The sequence below is a fragment of the Homo sapiens genome, chromosome 5, assembly GCF_000001405.40.
Source record: "Homo sapiens chromosome 5, GRCh38.p14 Primary Assembly".
In the NCBI taxonomy this organism is placed as follows: domain Eukaryota; kingdom Metazoa; phylum Chordata; class Mammalia; order Primates; family Hominidae; genus Homo; species Homo sapiens.
This window is the reverse complement of record NC_000005.10, coordinates 130,169,536-130,189,185: the sequence shown is the minus strand read 5'-3', so window position 1 is coordinate 130,189,185 and position 19,650 is coordinate 130,169,536. Positions and strand designations below refer to the sequence as shown.

The following is a 19,650-nucleotide window of genomic DNA, read 5'->3' as shown; positions in this document are numbered from 1 at the left end:
ACACATTTGGGTGTTTCCTTCCTGTAGTTCCGTATCTATTAACTAGCCATAATGGGCTCAACTCTTAAATTCAGAACTATTTCAGCACTGACAACATTGCTTATACCAAGTCTGTATGAGTAAAGTGACAGAAACAGTCAAGCAATTATTTGGTGATGTTCATCAGTGTGAACAGTTTCTACACTCAGGGGCTGAGATGATGTAGAAGGGATATTGTTGGCATCAGAAATTCTGGAAAGTTTTTTTCCTTGCTGAAGTTCAGTGATGTTTGAGCAGGTAGACAGAAAAACCCTAACCTTCCCTGACACAGTGGTGCACAGAAGGATCTAGCAAAATGGTAGACGCTTGAGATTAAATCCTGAAGAGGCTTTAACTGAGCAAATATCTGCAAATTTAGCTCGGTCCAGAAAGAGTATTCAGCAGGAGCAAGCTGACTAGTGGATCTCACATGTGCATGATGTCAGGAGGCCCTTCCCCCCTCCGTTGTTTTCTACATCCCTCCAGCAACTGAGAAACCATGGGGTAGAGTGAAAAAACAGGTGCTTCATTCAGACAGGCTTTTGCTTAAATCTTACCTCTACAGCATGCCAACTGTGTGAACCCGGGACAAGTTACTTAACCATGGTGGCTTCAGTTTCCATATCTGTTTAATGAAGAAAGTAATACCGATATTCTGAGAGCTGTTCTGAGGATTACACTTAAAAATAAAATGCATAGTGTGGTGCTGAGTGGACAGCAGATGATCAGTAATATGACATTGAATGCTGATGAAATTATTCTTGGGGTGACATTGAAACAGAACATCTACAGCCATCCAAATAAGGTAACACTACAATGTATGGACTACTTCACATGCATATATTGTGCTTTTTTGGTTGCATTCATAGTGTGTTGCCCTTCAAACTTAAAGGCTTTAGGTAATTGATACTACACGGATAGAAAAACACTCAATTTTACTATATCATTCTCCCCATATTTTCAGTCAGGTAATACTGCATTGCCTGAAGAAGATTATATGAAGGCTGAATGCAAAATTATATAATAGATTTAAAATGCACATATACTAGCAGTATAGTGTATACATGTGTGATTAAGTTCAAATGAGATCTCTGCATTCCCTTGGTTCATCAGCATGTTTTCATCATGTAATACAGAATGCCACTTCATCCCCTGGCAGCTGCTTCATAACTCTCTAAGTCTTGGAATGTTTTAAACTAGGCCTTTACATTTATTACCTCTGTGAAGCTCCTTCGTATTTCATTTGTCTGAGTTAAAGATCAGTCCCTGATTTCCTTTCTTCATTAACAAAATACTTAATACTTATTATTTGGTAATAGATCTTCCCAAATGACTATGTTTGCTGAATGCTAATATATTTACTGTTCAGGAAAATAAAACCTGCAAGACAGCGAGGTCTTGTAATATGGGAAAGTAAGTTATTAGAGTGAGGGTTTGTGAAAGCCAGAGACAATATTAGAGCAGAGATCAATTTTGAATTGTTTGCCCTGTCAAGATGAGCATTTTAACATCTAAAGATGCCATTAATTATTTTCTAATGAATTTGACAGTATTAGGATTACAAGTTATAGTCAAGGATACTGCCATCCTGTTTGTCCTAATATTAAGCAATGATATTTGTTAAGGATCCCAAAATGTCTTCAGTAAAAGAGGCTGTCAACATGTAAGGAATACATCACCAAGGCAAATGATATGTGGCCTCATGGCATTCAGTTAAAAATAATGGCAACAATTTACAACAATCACTTTCAAATCAATTTTGATGCAAATTATTTTTCCATTAAGTAGAAACAGAACATCAAAGTGCACAACAATATGTATAATATGCTGCATTTTGTGTATAGAGGGTTAAAAAAGTAAAATGTGTGCTTCAGAAACTCTAGAAAGACATGCACAAAACACTCACACAGCCCAAACAATGGTCATGTGTAGTCAGGTGACAGATATGGGTGGATGGGGAGTGAGGCCAACAGCTTTAGGCATTTAAAAATTTTGTTTGATTTTGGAACCATGCAAATGTATTACCTATTTACAAAATAAGATTTTATAATATGCCTTAATGACACTCCATTGGATGGATGTTCATTTTCTCTTACACTTCTTTAATCCAATTATGCTTTTCTAGAAACTGGACACCACTGATCCAGGTCAAAGAAAGAATGATATGTAAAACTAAATGAGATATTTCCTGACGTATTTTTAATAATTATAAAATTGATGTCATATTAATAATTTCTCCAGTGACTTTTGAGATACCTACCAACCCATATTAAAGGCAATTTTTGAACTGTTCTTGGGTCAGCTTGATCCCAAAGCTGAAGAGATTGAGGAAGGATGTTTCTCCCAGATGGTAAATTATTGAGTAAAGAAATTGCTCAGTTTAATCACTTATGAAGGCTAGGTTTTCCAGTATAATAAAACAAACAGCATACCATAATCCCTTGTTAACTTTTCAAGCTGCTCAGCAAGCATGTTTTGGTGAATATGAACAGAAACATATCAAGTGTGAATAAAAGGAAACAACAAAACCTTGTCAGTGTTTTTGAAAAAGAATACTGCTATACCTGTGTTTTATTTTAAATAAACAGGTTCTGTCATATTTTATCTTCTTGCCAGCAAATGAAGGACATTGTTTCATAAAGCTTCTAAAATGTACATGAATATTTAATTAAATCATATTTCCTTGAGAAAATAAAGTTCATTCGCATTTATAGCAGACAGTTGTGAGGAGCTCATAATTGTCATAAGACCAGGGTAGCCAGTACCGGTTGCTTGTGGAACAAAACTCCTCAATTTTTAAAACTTTTTTTAAAAAATAAACATACAATCATAGGTATTCATTTACTTTAAAAATTCTAAAGATGAAGAAAATTATTGTTTATATATTTAAGTCCTTGTATAAATTACAAAACTCAAGTTTATGTTACAGAGTCCCTTCCCCATAGGAAGCATAAAGCACTTTTGTGGTACCTTTCACCAGTAAATATTTGTATCACATTGAATTTGAGAAACCAAATAAAAGTCGATATTGCATCTTTAAGCCCCAAGAGAACATTCTTCTAAGCTGTCTCTTGTGATGAATGCGTTTCAAAAGTCATTTGATTGCTATGATTTAACTCAATCTCAAATAAAGTTATATAAAAGTAATAACATATTGACTTCAGTAGAAATCTGAAACATCAGTGAACTGCAGACTCTTCTTGCTTGAGGTCAACAAACACCCTTAGGAAGACAACCAAGAGTAGTTTAAGACCAGGACAACAAAATAAAATTATAACAATAATAATAATAAAATAACAATAATACAATAAAAATAACAACAACCAACAATGAGGTAAACTCCCCTTAAAAAAGGCAAAATGTGTTGCCTGGACTGTCAGGAGAGAGTTCGATTGTACCTGACACCTAAATGTTTTTCAAGCCAGAGTTCAGCCAGTTGCATGGTTGAGGCGAAAGTACTTGCCTTGGATCCTAAGCACATCTTATACTGCTTAGGGTCCAAGTTAGGATCACAATGAACTGGATGGAAAATATGCACCACTCCTACTTCTTGGCTTCTGAATGGCCTTAAGCCAGATAGAATGACTTTATTGTAGAGATCTACATCTTCTAGTCCCCAGCCTTGTATTGAGGTATCAAATCCACCTGCACCTAGAAGATCACTTTTGTAAATACAGGTGATGCCATATCCATAGTCTCTCCAAAATCCAGTCTTTTTTGAGAATATGAAGTAATCATCAGTGGGAGGATTTCCCCCGTTTGTTACCTTTGGGTCATACTGGCTAAAGATGATGGGATAGTACACCTGTTGTCCCTGAATTGTATTGTCTCTACATCGTTGGAGAAAATCTTCTCTGAAGATCAAGTCAACATCACAAAATAGCAGCAAAGTGTCATTGTCAAACTGGGCAGAAGCCATTTCAAGACCAAGACCTCTGGAAAACTCTCCCTTCATTGGGATCAGGGTCATTTCTGCTTTGGGGTACTTGTTCTGGTACCCTTTTATCAGCTCAATATGCTTGCTGGAGTCTTGGCCAGAATCCCTACTGAAAAGGATAATGACCAACTTTACATTCTGCTTTGGGATAAGACACATGTTTTCAAAGTTCTCCATGAATCTCAAGAAAATGTCATACCTTCCGATGAGAGGAACGAGAATGTGTACTTTCTTTTCATTGTGCCCTCCCATTTCTTTGGCACCTTGAAAAGAAGATAATATCTTTAAAGAATTAGATATAAAGGAGAATGACTGAGTTTCACTGTTAATACTCTCCACAAGACTGTTGACATCTAGCTCTTCGGTCTCTCTGAAGAAAGGCTTGCTGAACAACTGCTGAAGATAGGCATGACGTCTCACTGGCACAGTCAGTTTCCTTCCCTTGTGTCTTTTGTATAAAAGGAGTAAATCCAAAATGTACTCCACCCCGTGCATGGGGTTAACTCTGCGGTAGCCATACTGAATTTCCTTGAAGTCAATGAGCCGTCCTCTGCTCTTGGCATTCTCATTGATCATCTCCATCACCTGTAGGACGGTATCATCCAGTGCTGTTCTTAAAATGCTACTGAGGCTCTGTCGAGGGGGCTGGTTCTCAGCTGCTGAGTATAGAAGCTTCCCTGTCAGGAACTCCCATTCTATCACTTCATTTCTCTCCCGAGGCTGGAAGTGGTTGAAAGAAGGTATCACTCCCAGCTGCTGGTCCTCTTTGCTCACTTCTGTGTTACTGAGCTTGCTCATCAGGGCACTTTCCCTGTGGAGCTGGATGGTGCGGTAGCGAAGTTCAGAAATTTTGCGGCTGAGCATGTAATTATGCAGCCTGTATTGGTATGCAGGCCTTTTGTTGGGATGAAGTGTTATGGCTGCATGGATTTTGCTATTGTGAAGGTCTTGGATGTAACCCTTCCGATTGTGTTCATAATTTTCATGGAACAGTTGTTGCATCTGAAAAGTAAAATTAAAAAAATCAGGGTTAATTTTAAAAGATTTATCTAAAAAGAAAACCAGCGATAAACTAAAGCATCTAAATGAAAATGTTAATACATTTTTGGTATGGTATTTCATAACAAAAATGGTTTGTAATATTTATATTATTTAAAATTAAAATAGTTTTATTATTTGTAATTGGTAGATGAAATTCCATGTACTTATCATGTACCACATGTTTTGAAGTATATATATATAATATATAGAGAATATACATATAGTGGGATGAGTAAATCTAGCTAATTGATGTATTCATTACCTCACATAGTTATTATTGTGGTGAGAACATTTATCATCTTTTTTTAGCATTTTAAAGTATATAATATAGTTATTAACTATAGTCATCATGTATTCAATAGATCACTTGAATTTATTCCTCCTATCTAACTGAAATGTGGTATCATTTGACAAAAATCTCCCCAACCCCTCTCTCCAGCTGGCTTAGCCCCTGGTAACCAACATTCCACACTCTAGTCCTATGAAATCAACTTTTTGATTTCTATATATGAGTGAGAGCACAAATGTCAGGTTCATAGGCTCAAATATTGCAAATGAACCTCTAGCTATACATAAAACAACAATTGACTGTGTCCATAACCCCATAACAGATCACGGAGAAGGAGAGAGACAGAATGGACACAGCATGAGTCTTCCAAAATAAGGATTCACCCTAAGGAGGAAAACCAATGACCTGTTGTTTGGAATGGCAATAAGAAGTTATTTGCCAGGGGAGTCGTAAATTTCATTTAGCATCCTGATATACTATTTTTACCGAGTAAGTTCTTGGTAAGATAAGGTGAAACGGAAACTATACTGATCTACACTCCTGATGTAAAGTATCATACCCAAAATAGACATGCTTGACATCCTTATGAAACAAAAAGACTTTCTGCTAGTCTAGAACAAATTCACTAGTTCAGGCAGAAACAAAAATGAAAAAAAATATGTAGTTATGAGGACAAAGTTCAAACCGCCAGCTGATTCTTCCTTTTCTGCCAGTCGATTAAGACACCTCCATTATACCCACTCGAGATACGTGATTATGAACAATAAAAAGAAGGAAGAAAAGAGGGGATGAGGAGAAGGAGGTGAAAAAGAAGAAAAAAGGCCAGCAGCACCATGTCTGCAAATATACTGATGAATAAGAAGAAAGAAATATTGCAAACTTAAGAATACTCATCAGAAGCAGGTACAAATTGTACATAAATTTAAAAAAACAGCCTCTTCAAAAAAAAAACTCAATTAATAGACAAATAAGCTTAAAAAAGATAAAAAGTAAACTGGCAGGGCTAAGGAAAAAAGGGAGAAAAAAATAAAATCATTGATAGACATATTGCAAGAAGCATAAAAAGAGATTTGTGAAAAACGTAGGAAGAAGAGACTTGAAAAAAATTAGCAAAGTAATAGAAATATAAAATAGAGCTTACAGTTTGGAGAAAGGGTGGTCTTTTAAGTAATTAGTGCCAGATCAGTAGGATATTCATATAAGGGAAAAAAGTAAAAACGGATCCCCTACATCCTACAATGGATGACCTGTTGATGTAAACATAAAGGTTTATTTTAGAAAAAGGCTTTAAAAAGTTTCTAGAACTTACATGAAAATATCTGCAAGACTTTTGGGTATGTGAAGATTTTATAAATAGGGCATAAGGCACTAACCATTAAAACAGACTAATACATTACATTATGTTAAAGTTAAGAACCTTGTTCTTTAAAAACACCATTAGGAAAATAATAAAGGGCAATTACAGAGCAGGAGAAAAAAAATTCAATAGATTTTATGAAAAAGAACCAATTCCCAGAACATATAATAAACTTATACAAATAAGGAAAAAAGGAAGGACAAACCTAGCAGAAAAGTGACAAAGAAAACCTGAATGAGTACTTCACAAAAGAGTATGCAAATACTCAATAGACATATAAAAACATTCTCTACTTTATTCATCATCAAGGTAAAGCAACTTAAAATTACTATGGGATAACGTGATGGATCCACAAAAAAACAGATAGATAATACTGTGCATTGTGAAGGCAGTGGAAAATTTGGAACTCTCATACACTGCTAGTGAGAATATAACTTGGTTCTATCACTGAGAAAACCCGTATCAACTAAAATGAACATACATATTCCCTATGAGTCAGTAATTCTCTCTTAGATATATGCCCAATAGAAATACATATATATATATACATACATACACCTAAATATATATAGAATAATTTTCGTAGCTGCATTATTCATACTCCAAAACTGAAAATAACCTAAATTTACATCAAGAACAGAATAAATGTAGTATATTCATGTAATGAAAAACAATACATCAATTAAATACTTGAAATACTACTTGCAACAACATGGATGAATCTCACAAAAAATGAAAGAAGCCATATACATTTTGTATTATTCCATTTATGTGAAATTCAGAAACAGGTAAAGCTAACCTATATGGTTTGCTGTTGGAATAATGATCAAGAATCAAGAAGAGGGAAGCTTCTGGAGTGCTGGTAATGTTCTTTTATTTATCCAGGTGGTGGTCATATGTGTGCATTTAATATGTGAACATTCACTGAACTGCTGCTTAAGATATATTTATCTGCTATACTCCAATTAATGAAGGACTTTATTTTGAAAGTATGCATATATATGCACATAGAATTAGATATGCTTTTCTGACATGTATGTTCATAAATGTGTGGATATGTGGGCCTGGAGAGAGAGACAGAGAGAGAGAGAAGATATCAGAGAGATTTTCCCAGAGTTATTCACCCAAGTGTCTATTGAGAATGATGAGAATAAAATTAAAACTAGAATTCTCATGATTTTCAGTTTTTCTATAGATCATGATACATTTTGAACATAGCGAAATTGTTCTAAGAAAAATATGTGTAAAATTTATTTTAAAAATTATATTAATTTGCTTGAAATAATTAAGAACCTTTAGTTTAAGCTGGCTTCCTCTCCTTTAAAGAATTATCAGTGGATTTCATGGAACCTCCAGAACATTACACGGCAAAGAAAAATCATTTCACAACAACAAAATCACAGCAGCAATGAACACCAGTGTGCCCCGACTGACCCCAGTGCTTTAAGCGTATCACACATGATCTCACCCTCTGAGAAAGATTATCTGAGAGCCTCTAGGAAAATCTTCTCAAAAAACCTAACAGAAGAAGAATAAATGCCAAGAGGTAGTTTTATGTTGAATTATTTACTCTTCTACCGCATTAAACTTTCATTACCTTTCTTAGAATTATTAATAATGAAAACATAGCATAGGTCATTTCTGAAATGATCATAGCTATATAAATGAGAAACTTTTTTGTTTTTTGTTTTCTTGAGATGGGGTCTCACTCTGTCGCCGAGGCTGGAATGCAGTGGCCTGATCTCTGCTCACTGCAGTGCTCCTGGGCTCAAGCAATCCTCCCACCTCAGCCTCCTGAGTAGCTAGGACTTATAGGTGCATGCCACCGCACCCGGCTAATTTTTCAATTTCTTTTGTAGAGATGGGTCTCACTATGTTGCCTAGGCTGGTCTTGGACTCTTTGGCTCAAGTGATCCTCCCACCTCAGCCTCCCAAGGTCTGGGATTACAGGCATAAGGCACCGTGCCCAGTCTTAACTGAGAAACTTTAAAATATTAAAAAAACAAAAAACAAAAAACAAAAACAAAACAGGAGTTGATTACTAATAGGCACAAGGTAACTTTTGGAGCAATGGAAAATTTGTAAAACTAGATTGTGGTAATGATTGTATAACTGTATAAATTTACCAAATATCAGTAAAATGTAATATATATATGAAGAAAATTTTGTGGAATGTAAATTATACACTGATGAGGCTATTTAGAAAACAATAGGGAATAAAAATAAAATACCTCTAACTCTAGCTTTAAAAATGAAGAGATGGAATAATACATAGTCACCAAAATACCTTTAGTCACCAAAATATGTTTAGAATTTCCAAAAGCTTCTGAGGTTGGGCAGGATCATTTGGAAACAGGGGGAAATGAGAGGCTAAGCAGATCAGTGTCAGTGCCCAAAGGGTTCAAGGGTAAGAGATCTCAGAAAGCACCAAGAAAATACACTGCCTGAAAATGTAGGGCATAAAACTTACTCTGCATTTACAACTCTAAGTTCAGGAACTCAGGTGAGCTGGACAGGCGGAATAAACCCTGATGGCAACATTTGGTTTCAGAGAAGTAGAAAAGACACAGGTACAGAAAGAATTAAACACTTAAACCCTAGTTTCATGAAGCACGTTTAATCTGAAGCAGCAGAGAAAATCTATGTCTTTTCTTTGTGGAAATCAGCAAGCCAAGAATTATAGCAAACACTCCTACCAAAATAAATCTATGCTGAATTGCTTGTCCAGGAAAAATGTAATTTTTTTCAGAGATGAGTCATTTATCTAAAAAAGAAAAATAGTGTAACACTGACACAAAGTATAAAAAAAAAAAATTAGATGAAAAACTACCACTTCCTTTTGCCCCCAGAAAAAAAGCCATGAAATTGAGAAAAACATTAGGCACCTGGTTTTGAAAACATATGAAGAATTTGCCTCTATCTTCATAAACAACAAAGGGAAATGTAAGAGCTCAGGGATATGATAGTAAGATGAAATGTCAGCTCAAAGAACAAAGAAATAAAGAAATGATTAAAAAATAAACTCTATCACAGGCATGAAAATAAAATCAGAAAAAAATAGGCACTGTGGAAAGCTATTATTAAGGGATAGAACGGCAGAAATTAGGAAAGTGAAATAGAAATAAAGAGTTAATGACAGACAAGAGAGAAATCATATTGATAGGAGGGTAGGCTAAGAAAAGCCAAAAACATGCTTAGAGTGACTGGAAAAAAAATAAAACAGAAGACATAAAGATACAATTTAAGAAACTGTTATTGAAATAAAAGGAGTATAGTATCTATATTAAATGGTCTTACTGCGTGTGCCAGATAAAATCAACCCGGAATGTTCAATAAAAGAACAAAATCCTTTGGAAGGTAGATAAAAAGTTCAAGTCAACTTCTGAATAAAAATGGTAGATTTAACAGTAATTTCCACATTTACTATTTATTGAACTCAATGAGGACAGTAATAAAGTGAATCTTTAAAGGGATACACAAAAACATAGGGAATAAAAGTGGAGGACACTATAATTGTGGAAGTTGACTGCACACAGATAAGTGGTAATAGATCTAGCAAATTGTAGAAAACTGAATTGTAGACTTGCAATGGGCAAAACCAAGAATAAACTTAAATTGAACCTTAGAAACCCTTACTGGAACCTCCAGAAATAGGAGTAAAAGTTGGTTGAGTGAAAATAATCAGTCAGATTGTGCAGCCAGACAACTGACCCTCTCTGAGCAAAAAAGTAATGTTAACAAATTCAATATTTATTTTCCATCATCTCTGAATTTAGGGATATCCTTGTCATTGTTGACAAAACCAAGTCACTTTTTCAACGTTTCTCATCAGATTTTCATCCCTTATGCTCAATCTTGAGCAGTTTATTAAGGATAGAAGCCATCTCTATAGAAATAGAGAATATTCAGGTAGAAGAAGACAAAAAAATGTATAATGAATTACTATCTTCAGAAAAGTGAGGGAAGATACTGAGAACATAAAACCAGACCACGGCCGGGTGCTGTGGCTCACGCCTGTAATCCCAGCACTTTCGGAGGCCGAGACGGGCGGATCACGAGGTCAGGAGATGGAGACCATCCTGGCTAACACGGTGAAACCCCCTCTCTACTAGAAATACAAAAAATTAGCCAGGCGTGGTGGTGGGTGCCTGTAGTTCCAGCTACTAGGGAGGCTGAGGAAGAATGGCGTGAACCCGAGAGGCGGAGCTTGCAGTGAGCTGAGATCCTGCCACTGCACTCCAGCCTGGGTGACAGAGTGAGACTCCGTCTCAGGAAAAAAAAAAAAAAAAATATATATATATATATATATATATATAAATATAAATATATACATATATATATAAATATATATATATACACACACACATATATATACATATAATACTAAAAAAAGACCACAACTATATCCATATTTATCCATGTTTATATGTTTTATTATATCCATCTATCCACACATAATCACACATATCAAGTACATATGTAGAAAAACCAAAATATAAAATGCACCAAAATTAAAATATAACAGAAATTTTAAAATGCAAAAGAAGAGTTGGAAAATAAAGGTAATAAAATCTAGAAAGTTAAGCAAAAAGACAAAAAAAGAAAATTTGTGGGAAAAGTTTAAGGAATTAAGGAACAGTTCAGGAGATCCAATATCCAAATAACAGTAGTTCCAGAATGAGTGAGCAGAGGAACAGAGAGGAAAAAATTATCAACAAAATAATTCAAGAAAATTTCCACAAAATGCAACAGATGAAGGGCTTGAGTTTCCAAATTCAAAGGGCTTATTCTATAAAAGCTAAATCCGATGAAATTAGACCCATATGAAGCACACCACTGTGAAATTTTAGAGCCTTGAGGCAGAGGATATGTTAGATGCCTCCTGGGAGGACAGTGATAAAAGGCTCAAAAAGCAGCATGTCTATAGACTTCTCAATGAAAACTGGAAGTACAAAAAGTAATCAAATAGTCATTTCAAAATATGATGAAAATGGCTTCAAACCTAGAATTCTATAGCTAAACAAGATATCAATGAAGTGTTAGGAGAAAATAAGGTCATTGCTGTACCTCAAAGAACTATCTTTCAAGCTCATTTCTCAGAGAACTATTAATAGATTTGTTATTCCCAAGCAGAGAGAAAATCAGGAAACAGAAAACATGGTGCAAACAGGAACATAAAGGGCAACCAATAGATATTTCAGCAGGTCAGAAGGCAAAAAGAAGGGATTGTTCAGAAAAATAAATTGACAGAAAACCCAGTGAATCTGGAGAAGCAGTTAGTGAAGAATACAAAACATATATATATATATACACACACACACACATATATATACACACACTCATATATATATATATTCATATATATATGTATGAAAAATTATTATATGCCCCATATGAAGTATAGGGAGTCAAGGACAGGATACACATGTGTGATTGTGTAGGAAAGGAAAGTTAACTAAGTCAATAGAAAATGACTAAAACTGAAAGATGAAGAAAAAACACAAGGAAGTTATTAGAGATGTGGTAATCAAAATAACAAGTATTTAAATTCAATCTGTTTTTTATACTTTAAGTTCTGGGATACATGTGCAGATACATGTTACATAGGTATACACGTGCCATGGTGGTTTGCTGCACTCATCAACCCATCACCTACATTAGGTATTTATCCTAATGCTATCCCTCCCCTAGTATCCCACTCCTCAACAGGCCCTGGTGTGTGATGTTCCCCTCCCTGTGTCCATGTGTTCTCATTGTTCAACTCCCACTATTAGTGAGAACATGCAATGTTTGGTTTTCTGTTCCTGTGTCAGTTTGCTGAAAATGATGGTTTCCAGCTTCATCCATGTCCTGCAAAGGACATGAACTCATCCTTTTTTATGGCTGCATAGTATTCCATGGTGTATATGTGTGACATTTTCTTTATCTAGTCTATCACTGATGGGCATTTGGGTTGGTTCCAAGTCTCTGCTATTGTGAATAGTACTGCAATAAACATACGTGTGCATGTGTCTTTATAGTAGAATGATTTAAAATCCTTTGGGTATATACCCAGTAATGGGATTGCTGGGTCAAATGGTTCTAGAACCTTGAGGAATCACCACACTGTCTTCCACAATGGTTGAACTAATTTACACTCCCACCAATAGTGTAAAAGCATTCTTATTTCTCCACATCCTCTCCAGCCTCTGTTGTTTCCTGACTTTTTATTGATCACCATTCTAACTGACGTGAGATGATATCTCATTGTGGTTTTGATTTGCATTTCTCTAATGACCAGTGATGATGGGCTTTTTTTTTCATATATTTGTTGGCTGCATAAATGTCTTCTTTTGAGAAATGTCTGTTCATATCCTTCGCCCACTTTTTGATGGGGTGCTTGTTTTTTTCTTGTAAATTTGTTTAAGTTCCTATGGATTCTGGATATTAGCCCTTTGTCAGCTGGATAGATTGCAATAATTTTCTCCCATTCTGTAGGTTGCCTGTTCACTCTGATGATAGTTTCTTTTACTGTGCAGAAGCTCTTTAGTTTAATTAGATCCCATTTGTCAATTTTGGCTTTTGTTGCCATTGCTTTTGGTGTTTAATTATGAAGTCTTTGCCCGTGCCTATGTCCTGAATGGTATGGCCTAGGTTTTCTTCTAGGGTTTCTATGGTTTTAGGTCTTACATTTAAATCTTTAACCCATCTTCAGTTAATTTATAAGGTGTAAGGAAGGGGTCCAGTTTCAGTTTTCTGCATATGGGTAGCCAGTTTTCCCAACACCATTTACAAAATAGGGAATCCTTTCCCTGTTGCTTGTTTTTGTCAGGTTTGTCAAAGATCAGATGGTTGTAGATGTGTGGCATTGTTTCTGAGGCCTCTATTCTGTTCCATTGGTCTATATATCTGTTTTGGTACCAGTACCATACTGTTTGGATTACTGTAGCCTTGTAGTATAGTTTGAAGTCAGGTAGCATGATGCCTCCAGCTTTGTTCTTTTGCTTAGAATTGTCTTGGCTATACAGGCTCTGTTTTGATTCCATATGAAATTTAACATAGTTTTTTCTAATTCTGTGAAGAAAGTCAATGGTAGCTTGATGGGGATAGCATTGAATCTATAAATTACTTTGGGCAGTATGACCATTTTCACCATATTGATTCTTCCTATCCATGAGCATGGAATGTTTTTCCATTTGTTTGTGTCCTCTCTTATTTCCTTGAGCAGTGGTTTGTAGTTCTCCTTGAAGAGGTCCTTCGCATCCCTTGTAAGTTGTATTCCTAGGTATTTTATTCTCTTAGTAGCAATTGTGAATGGTAGTTCACTGATGATTTGGCTCTCTGATTGTCTATTATTGGTGTATAGAAATGCTTGTGATTTTTGCACATTGATTTTGTATGCTGAGACTTTGCTGAAGGGCTTTACATACTGGTAATGGGATCACTGAAACAAGAAGAGCTAACTATCCAAAATATATATGCACCCAATACAGGAGCACCCACATTCATAAAGCAAGTTCTTAGAGACCTACGGAGAGACTTAGATTCCCATACAATAATAGTGGGAGACTTAACACCCCACTATTATATCTTTTCCATGTGTGTCTCTTTTCCATGTATGTCTCATTGTAATTCAGGGGGGTGCATGTGCATTGCAACGAAGTGCTTAGATTCTGGAGCCAGATGCCATGGATGGAGCCAGGCTCTAAAACTTAATAAACATGTGACCTTGGACAAATCCTTTAACTTTTTGTGCCTCAGTTTAACTATTTGTAAAATAAGAAATACCATAAATAGTATATACCTCATAGGGTGGCTGTTAGTGTTAAATGAGTATTTGTATTTGAAATATGTAGAAAAGAATGTGGCATATTGTAACTGCTTAGTTATTATTATTGTATATAATTAGTTATTGTTGTAGTTGTTATCTTTGTAGTTGTTGAAATTTGTTTTTATATTATTATTAATGTAGGTATTGAATAAATGAGTACATGAAAATGCTCTTGATTAAATTTGCCTTAGAAAATGATTCAAATATGTTTACAATAGCTATCATTTGACTTCAGATCATAATTTGAGAACTAAGAAACTAAATTATCTCTGTTGAAAGAGAAATAAGAGGCCATACTATCATGGGTAAAGCTGTCTGTGAAAATCTTTGGTCTTCTCTATGAAGGAAAAAAGTCTCCTTAATTTACTTATGTAAAGAAGTTACTTCAATCTGAAAGTTATTTTGTTTTCATTATGCTACTACTTTTTTTTTTTTAACGAGAAAGGATCCTCTAACTTGGAAAAATCTGTTTGTATCTCTTCTTAGATATGAGATTAAGGAGGATTTGGGAGAATGAGGCATTCCTTTACCAGGAAGTGAAGACTCTGCAAATTAGAAAAATTATGAAGGCATGTAAGAAAATAAAAAATCATTTAAGTGGTGTGCAATATAATGGTGAATATGTACCTATGGGTTCAGTAATTTGCTTTGCAAATATTAAACCCATTTTATTGTTGATGATTTAGTTATGTAACTAAATGGAGAGTCTTATTGTCCTTAATGAAAATGACTAATAATCTTTCCTTTATAAGACTAGTGAATATAAAAATTCTAAGTAAAATAGTGAATTTTCAAATTAACACAATTGTTTGCCCTCAATTATTGTCTGCAGATATTAAAAGTAAGATTCTTAAAATGTGCCCTACTTCTCTGGTAATAATGGTAAAATAAAAAAAAAAGCCTGATTCTCAATATTAAAGAAAATAAATAACTTGAGGGAAAATAAACATACATATTTCATTCTATAATTATGGAAAGAATGAAAACATGTTAAAGAGCGTATACAGCTTGAATAAATTGTTTAAAGCAATGATCTGGTATAAGAATAATAAGGTACACTCTTCTTCATATCCTGTATGCATATTTTTCATATAAAATAAGAACATTTTGCTACTAAGATTTCTAAAAATAATAACACCTTGATAATAGATACATCTGATCTATAAACTCTGCCTTTAAACTCACTATACAACGTGATAAAATTGCATGAAACTAAATCCATGTGTGTATACATGCACACAAACACCCATACACAGAGTACTTGCAAAACTAAGAAAATCTGAATAACATCAGTGGATTATATCCATATCCTGGTTGTGAATATAGTTTTGCGAGATGTTATCAGTGAGAGAAACTGGATAAAGGACACATGGAATCTCTGGGTATTTTTTTTTACAACTGTATGTGAATTGATAATTATTTCCAAACAAAAGGTTAAATTTAAAAAATTATGATGCAAAAAATAAAATATTTTGTCTCTTGTCTCTCTCTCTTTTTTGTTTTGAAGGAAATCCCTCCCCAAATGTATTAGTAGCAGTGTTGAAAACGTGTAGTCCAAAGGCTATAGACGTAATTTTTGTTGCTGCCTTTTTTCTTGGTGAGTCCAGTATTTTGAATACATTTGAATTTGAAAGATAATAAGCGAGCAGTGCATTTTCAAGTTACTTTCAGTCCCATCAAATTTCTCCATGTTTGTTATAAATTTAGGTTGTCATAAATATAAGTTTTCTGAAAGCATTTTAAGTTTGTGGATATCCTTTTAAAGTAAGTTTTAAAAATCTTAAAATTTCTTTTCCTTTTGAAATCCTATCACTTGCTACAATATGGATGAAACTTGAGGACATTATACTAAGTGAAATAAGCCAGTCACAAAACGACAAATACTCTATGATTCCACTTATAAGAAATATCTAAAGTAGTCAAATTTATAGAAATAGAAAATAGAATGGCAGTTGCCAGGGACTGGAGTGAGAAGAAAATGGGGAGTTGCTGTTCAGGCACGGAGTTTCAGTTTTGCAAGATTAAAAAGTTCTACAGAAACATTGCGTAGCACATTAATATAGCTGATACTACTGAATTGTACACTTCAAAAGAGTTACATGTGGCCAGGCACAGTGGCTCACACCTGTAATCCCAGCACTTTGAGAGGATGAGACAGGCAGGTTGCTTGAGTCCAAAATATTGAGACCAGCCTGGGCAACATGGCGAAACCCCATCTCTACAAAACATAGAAAAATTAGCTGGGCATGGTAGCACACACCTGTAGTCCCAGCTACTTGGGAGGCTGAAGTGGGAGGATGGTTTGAGCCTGGGAGTTCGAGGCTGCAGTGAGTTGAGATGGTGCCATTGCACTCCAGCCTGGGTGGCAAAGTGAGCCCCTGTCTCAACTGTCTCAAAAAAAAAAAAAAGAAAAGAAAAGAAAAGAAAAAAAAGAGTTAAATAATAAACTATTCTTTTTCTTCAGTTTTTATTTTACACAACTTTCATCTTTTCCTAAAAGTGAATGCATATCACACTCTGGCCAATTAATATACTTCGTTATAAATGTTTCCTTCCGGATTAGCTTTATTCATGGGCAAGATCTCTCTTGTAAAAGGAAAAAAAAATGGTTGCCTTTGACCACAGGCTGATATTTTGCACACTATAATCCTAGAGAAAGAAAAGCAGACCTCACCACCCAGACAGGGCAGAGAAGTGACATAAGAAAAACTGAGTGCTATTGAGAGCACTGAACACAGCACTGAGCTATGCCTAAGGCCAAAGCACACTCAGACTTTCTGGCTTCCTAGGACTATAGTTTCTTCTTTTTTCCAGTTAGTTTAGCTGTGGTTCTGTCACTTGCACCACAAAGCATCCTGTCAAAAACAACCTGATAAGTGAAGTTGCAATTTCAGCTCTGTACTAATGCTCTGTATGATTTTGAAGAAGGTTTTCCTTCTGTTTAATTAGTTAGTTCAGTCTTGGTTGAAATCCAAGTAACAATCTGATATGGGTAATCTGCACCATTAAAACTGACACATTTTTCCTGTTTCATTTTTTTTAGCTATTTTAGTTTTTAGAAAACCTGTCAGACAACACAGAAAATAGCTTGCAGATAGCAACTCTTATATGTGATAAAGATTTCTCAGAAAGATATATTCTATACAACTTAAAAACACTTTCAGACAACATGGAAAATAGCTCATAGATATTAACTCTCAATCATTGATATAGATTTCTCAGCAGAGTATATTCTGGACACCTGATGTCTTGGACAAATACCAAAGAGATTAAAAATCTTAAAGAAATCACTAAGTTCATCAGGTTTGTTTATCATGGTATAATGACACATAATCATTTGTTAGTTTAAATAAACCCTTATGCCTTAATTAAAACTACCCTTTTAGAACTAAAATATCACTCTAATAAGAAAAAAAATCTAATGATAACTGAACTTAACTGCTCATCTATCTGCCTGATTTAGCCTGACATACACATATTCAGAGTGACTATATAGATATTTCCTGAGATACAGTTAAGATAACGCTAGATGATTGTTAAAATCTATACATTTCTCTTCCTCTGTATACTTTTTAAAAATTTGGTAAACTTTCAAGTAGAATTTTACATTTATTTTTTCCCTAAACATTTTAAGTACTCACTATTTATTACAAAGAGGAGGTAAAGAAGAATATTACGTTTGCAAGTTGCCATTTTGCAAACACGCACACACCCTTTATTCATGTAATACCAACATAACGACTCCCTTCACTAGTGATTGCATTTCCTTGTAAATGATGGGTTCAGAGCATAACTAACAATAGAAAAAGGGAAGTTATCATTTCCAAACTAGGCTTTCAAGACCTCTGAAAAACAAAATGTAAAGTAATAGTTACTCAAACGACTCAACAAGAAAAAAAAAAACTTGATTAAAACTGGGCAAAGGATATGAACAAACATTTCTCAAAAGAAGAAATACAAACAGCCAACAAACACATGAAACAATGGTCAACATCACTAATCATCAGAGAAATGCAAATTAAAACTACAATGAGATATCATCTTACACCAGTCAGAATAGCTATTATTAAAAAGTCAAAAAACAACATGTTGGCATGAATGCAGATAAAATGGAATGCTCATACACTGTTGGTGGGAATGTAAATTAGTTCAACCTCCATGGAAAACAGTATGGAACTAAAATAGTAAAGAACTAAAAACAGAACTACCATTATACCCAGCAATCCTACTACTGGGTGTCTATCCAAAGGAAAATAAATAATTATATACAAAGATACCTGTGCCTGTATGTTAATCACAGCATTGTTAACAATAGCAAAGTCATGGAATCAACCTAAGTGTCCATCAACAGTTGACTGGATAAAGAAAATGTGGTATATACACACCATGGAATACTATGCAATTATAAAAAAGAATGAAATCATGTCCTTTGCAGCAACACTGGGTGCAGCTGGAGGCCATTATCCTAAGTGAACTAACTCAGAAACAAGAAACCAAATACCACATGTTCTTTCTTATAAGTGAGAACTAAACAATGGGAACACATGGATATAAAGACGGAAATAATAGATACTAGGGACTCCAAAATCGGGGAGGTGGAAAGGGGGCAAGGGTAGAAAAATTATCTTTCGGATACAGTATTCACTATTTGGGTAACAGGTACACTAGAAGCCCTGTCCCTACTAGTACACAACATACCCATGTAACTAATATGCACACGTACCTCTTGAATCTAAAATAAAATATTTTATTTAAAAATTTAAAAATAAAAGAAAGATGGTAGTTGCTACAAAATTTCAGAAGACATTAACCCAATTCATGAATGTATTGTATCCACAGAGGAAATATGAGTGTATGATGTCACTGATCACGCATAAAATCATACCTCCCTTTCAGATAAAAAAGAGGAAATTACCTTCTTTCTAATTCATATGTTTCATTCCAGTTTTGAACGCTTTCAAATACCAAGTAGATTCTTATTTAACTAATGTGCTAAAGCAAAAGCCAAAGGTTGGATTGGTTGTAATTACTGTTTTTTTTTTTTCTGTGCTCCCAAAATTCAAGCAACCAACTGTTTAGCCTTGTGAAAAGCTTAACATAAGCTTATCTAATTCTGCATAAACATTATATCATTCACTAATGTTAGAGAGCATTAAAAAATGGGTCAGATAAAGTTAGGACAAACTTAGGATTTTTTT

The 19,650-nt window shown here is 34.7% G+C and overlaps 1 protein-coding gene across 5 annotated transcripts in view; it reads right to left on the bottom strand.

Annotated features, from left to right (window-relative positions):
- Nucleotides 1–2,551: 2,551 nt before the first annotated feature.
- CHSY3 (chondroitin sulfate synthase 3) overlaps nucleotides 2,552–19,650 on the bottom strand; it is a 282,656-nt gene continuing 265,557 nt past the window's right edge. For 4 of the 5 annotated variants that reach the window (XM_011543363.4, XM_011543365.4, NM_175856.5 and 1 more), the window contains one exon: nucleotides 2,552–4,957. In XM_011543363.4, coding sequence (XP_011541665.1) covers nucleotides 3,395–4,957 — 1,563 coding nt within the window. In that variant the 3' untranslated portion in view covers nucleotides 2,552–3,394. Of the gene's footprint in view, nucleotides 4,958–6,426; nucleotides 6,727–19,650 lie in introns of those variants that run through there. The other variant, XM_011543364.3, reaches the window with a different exon arrangement.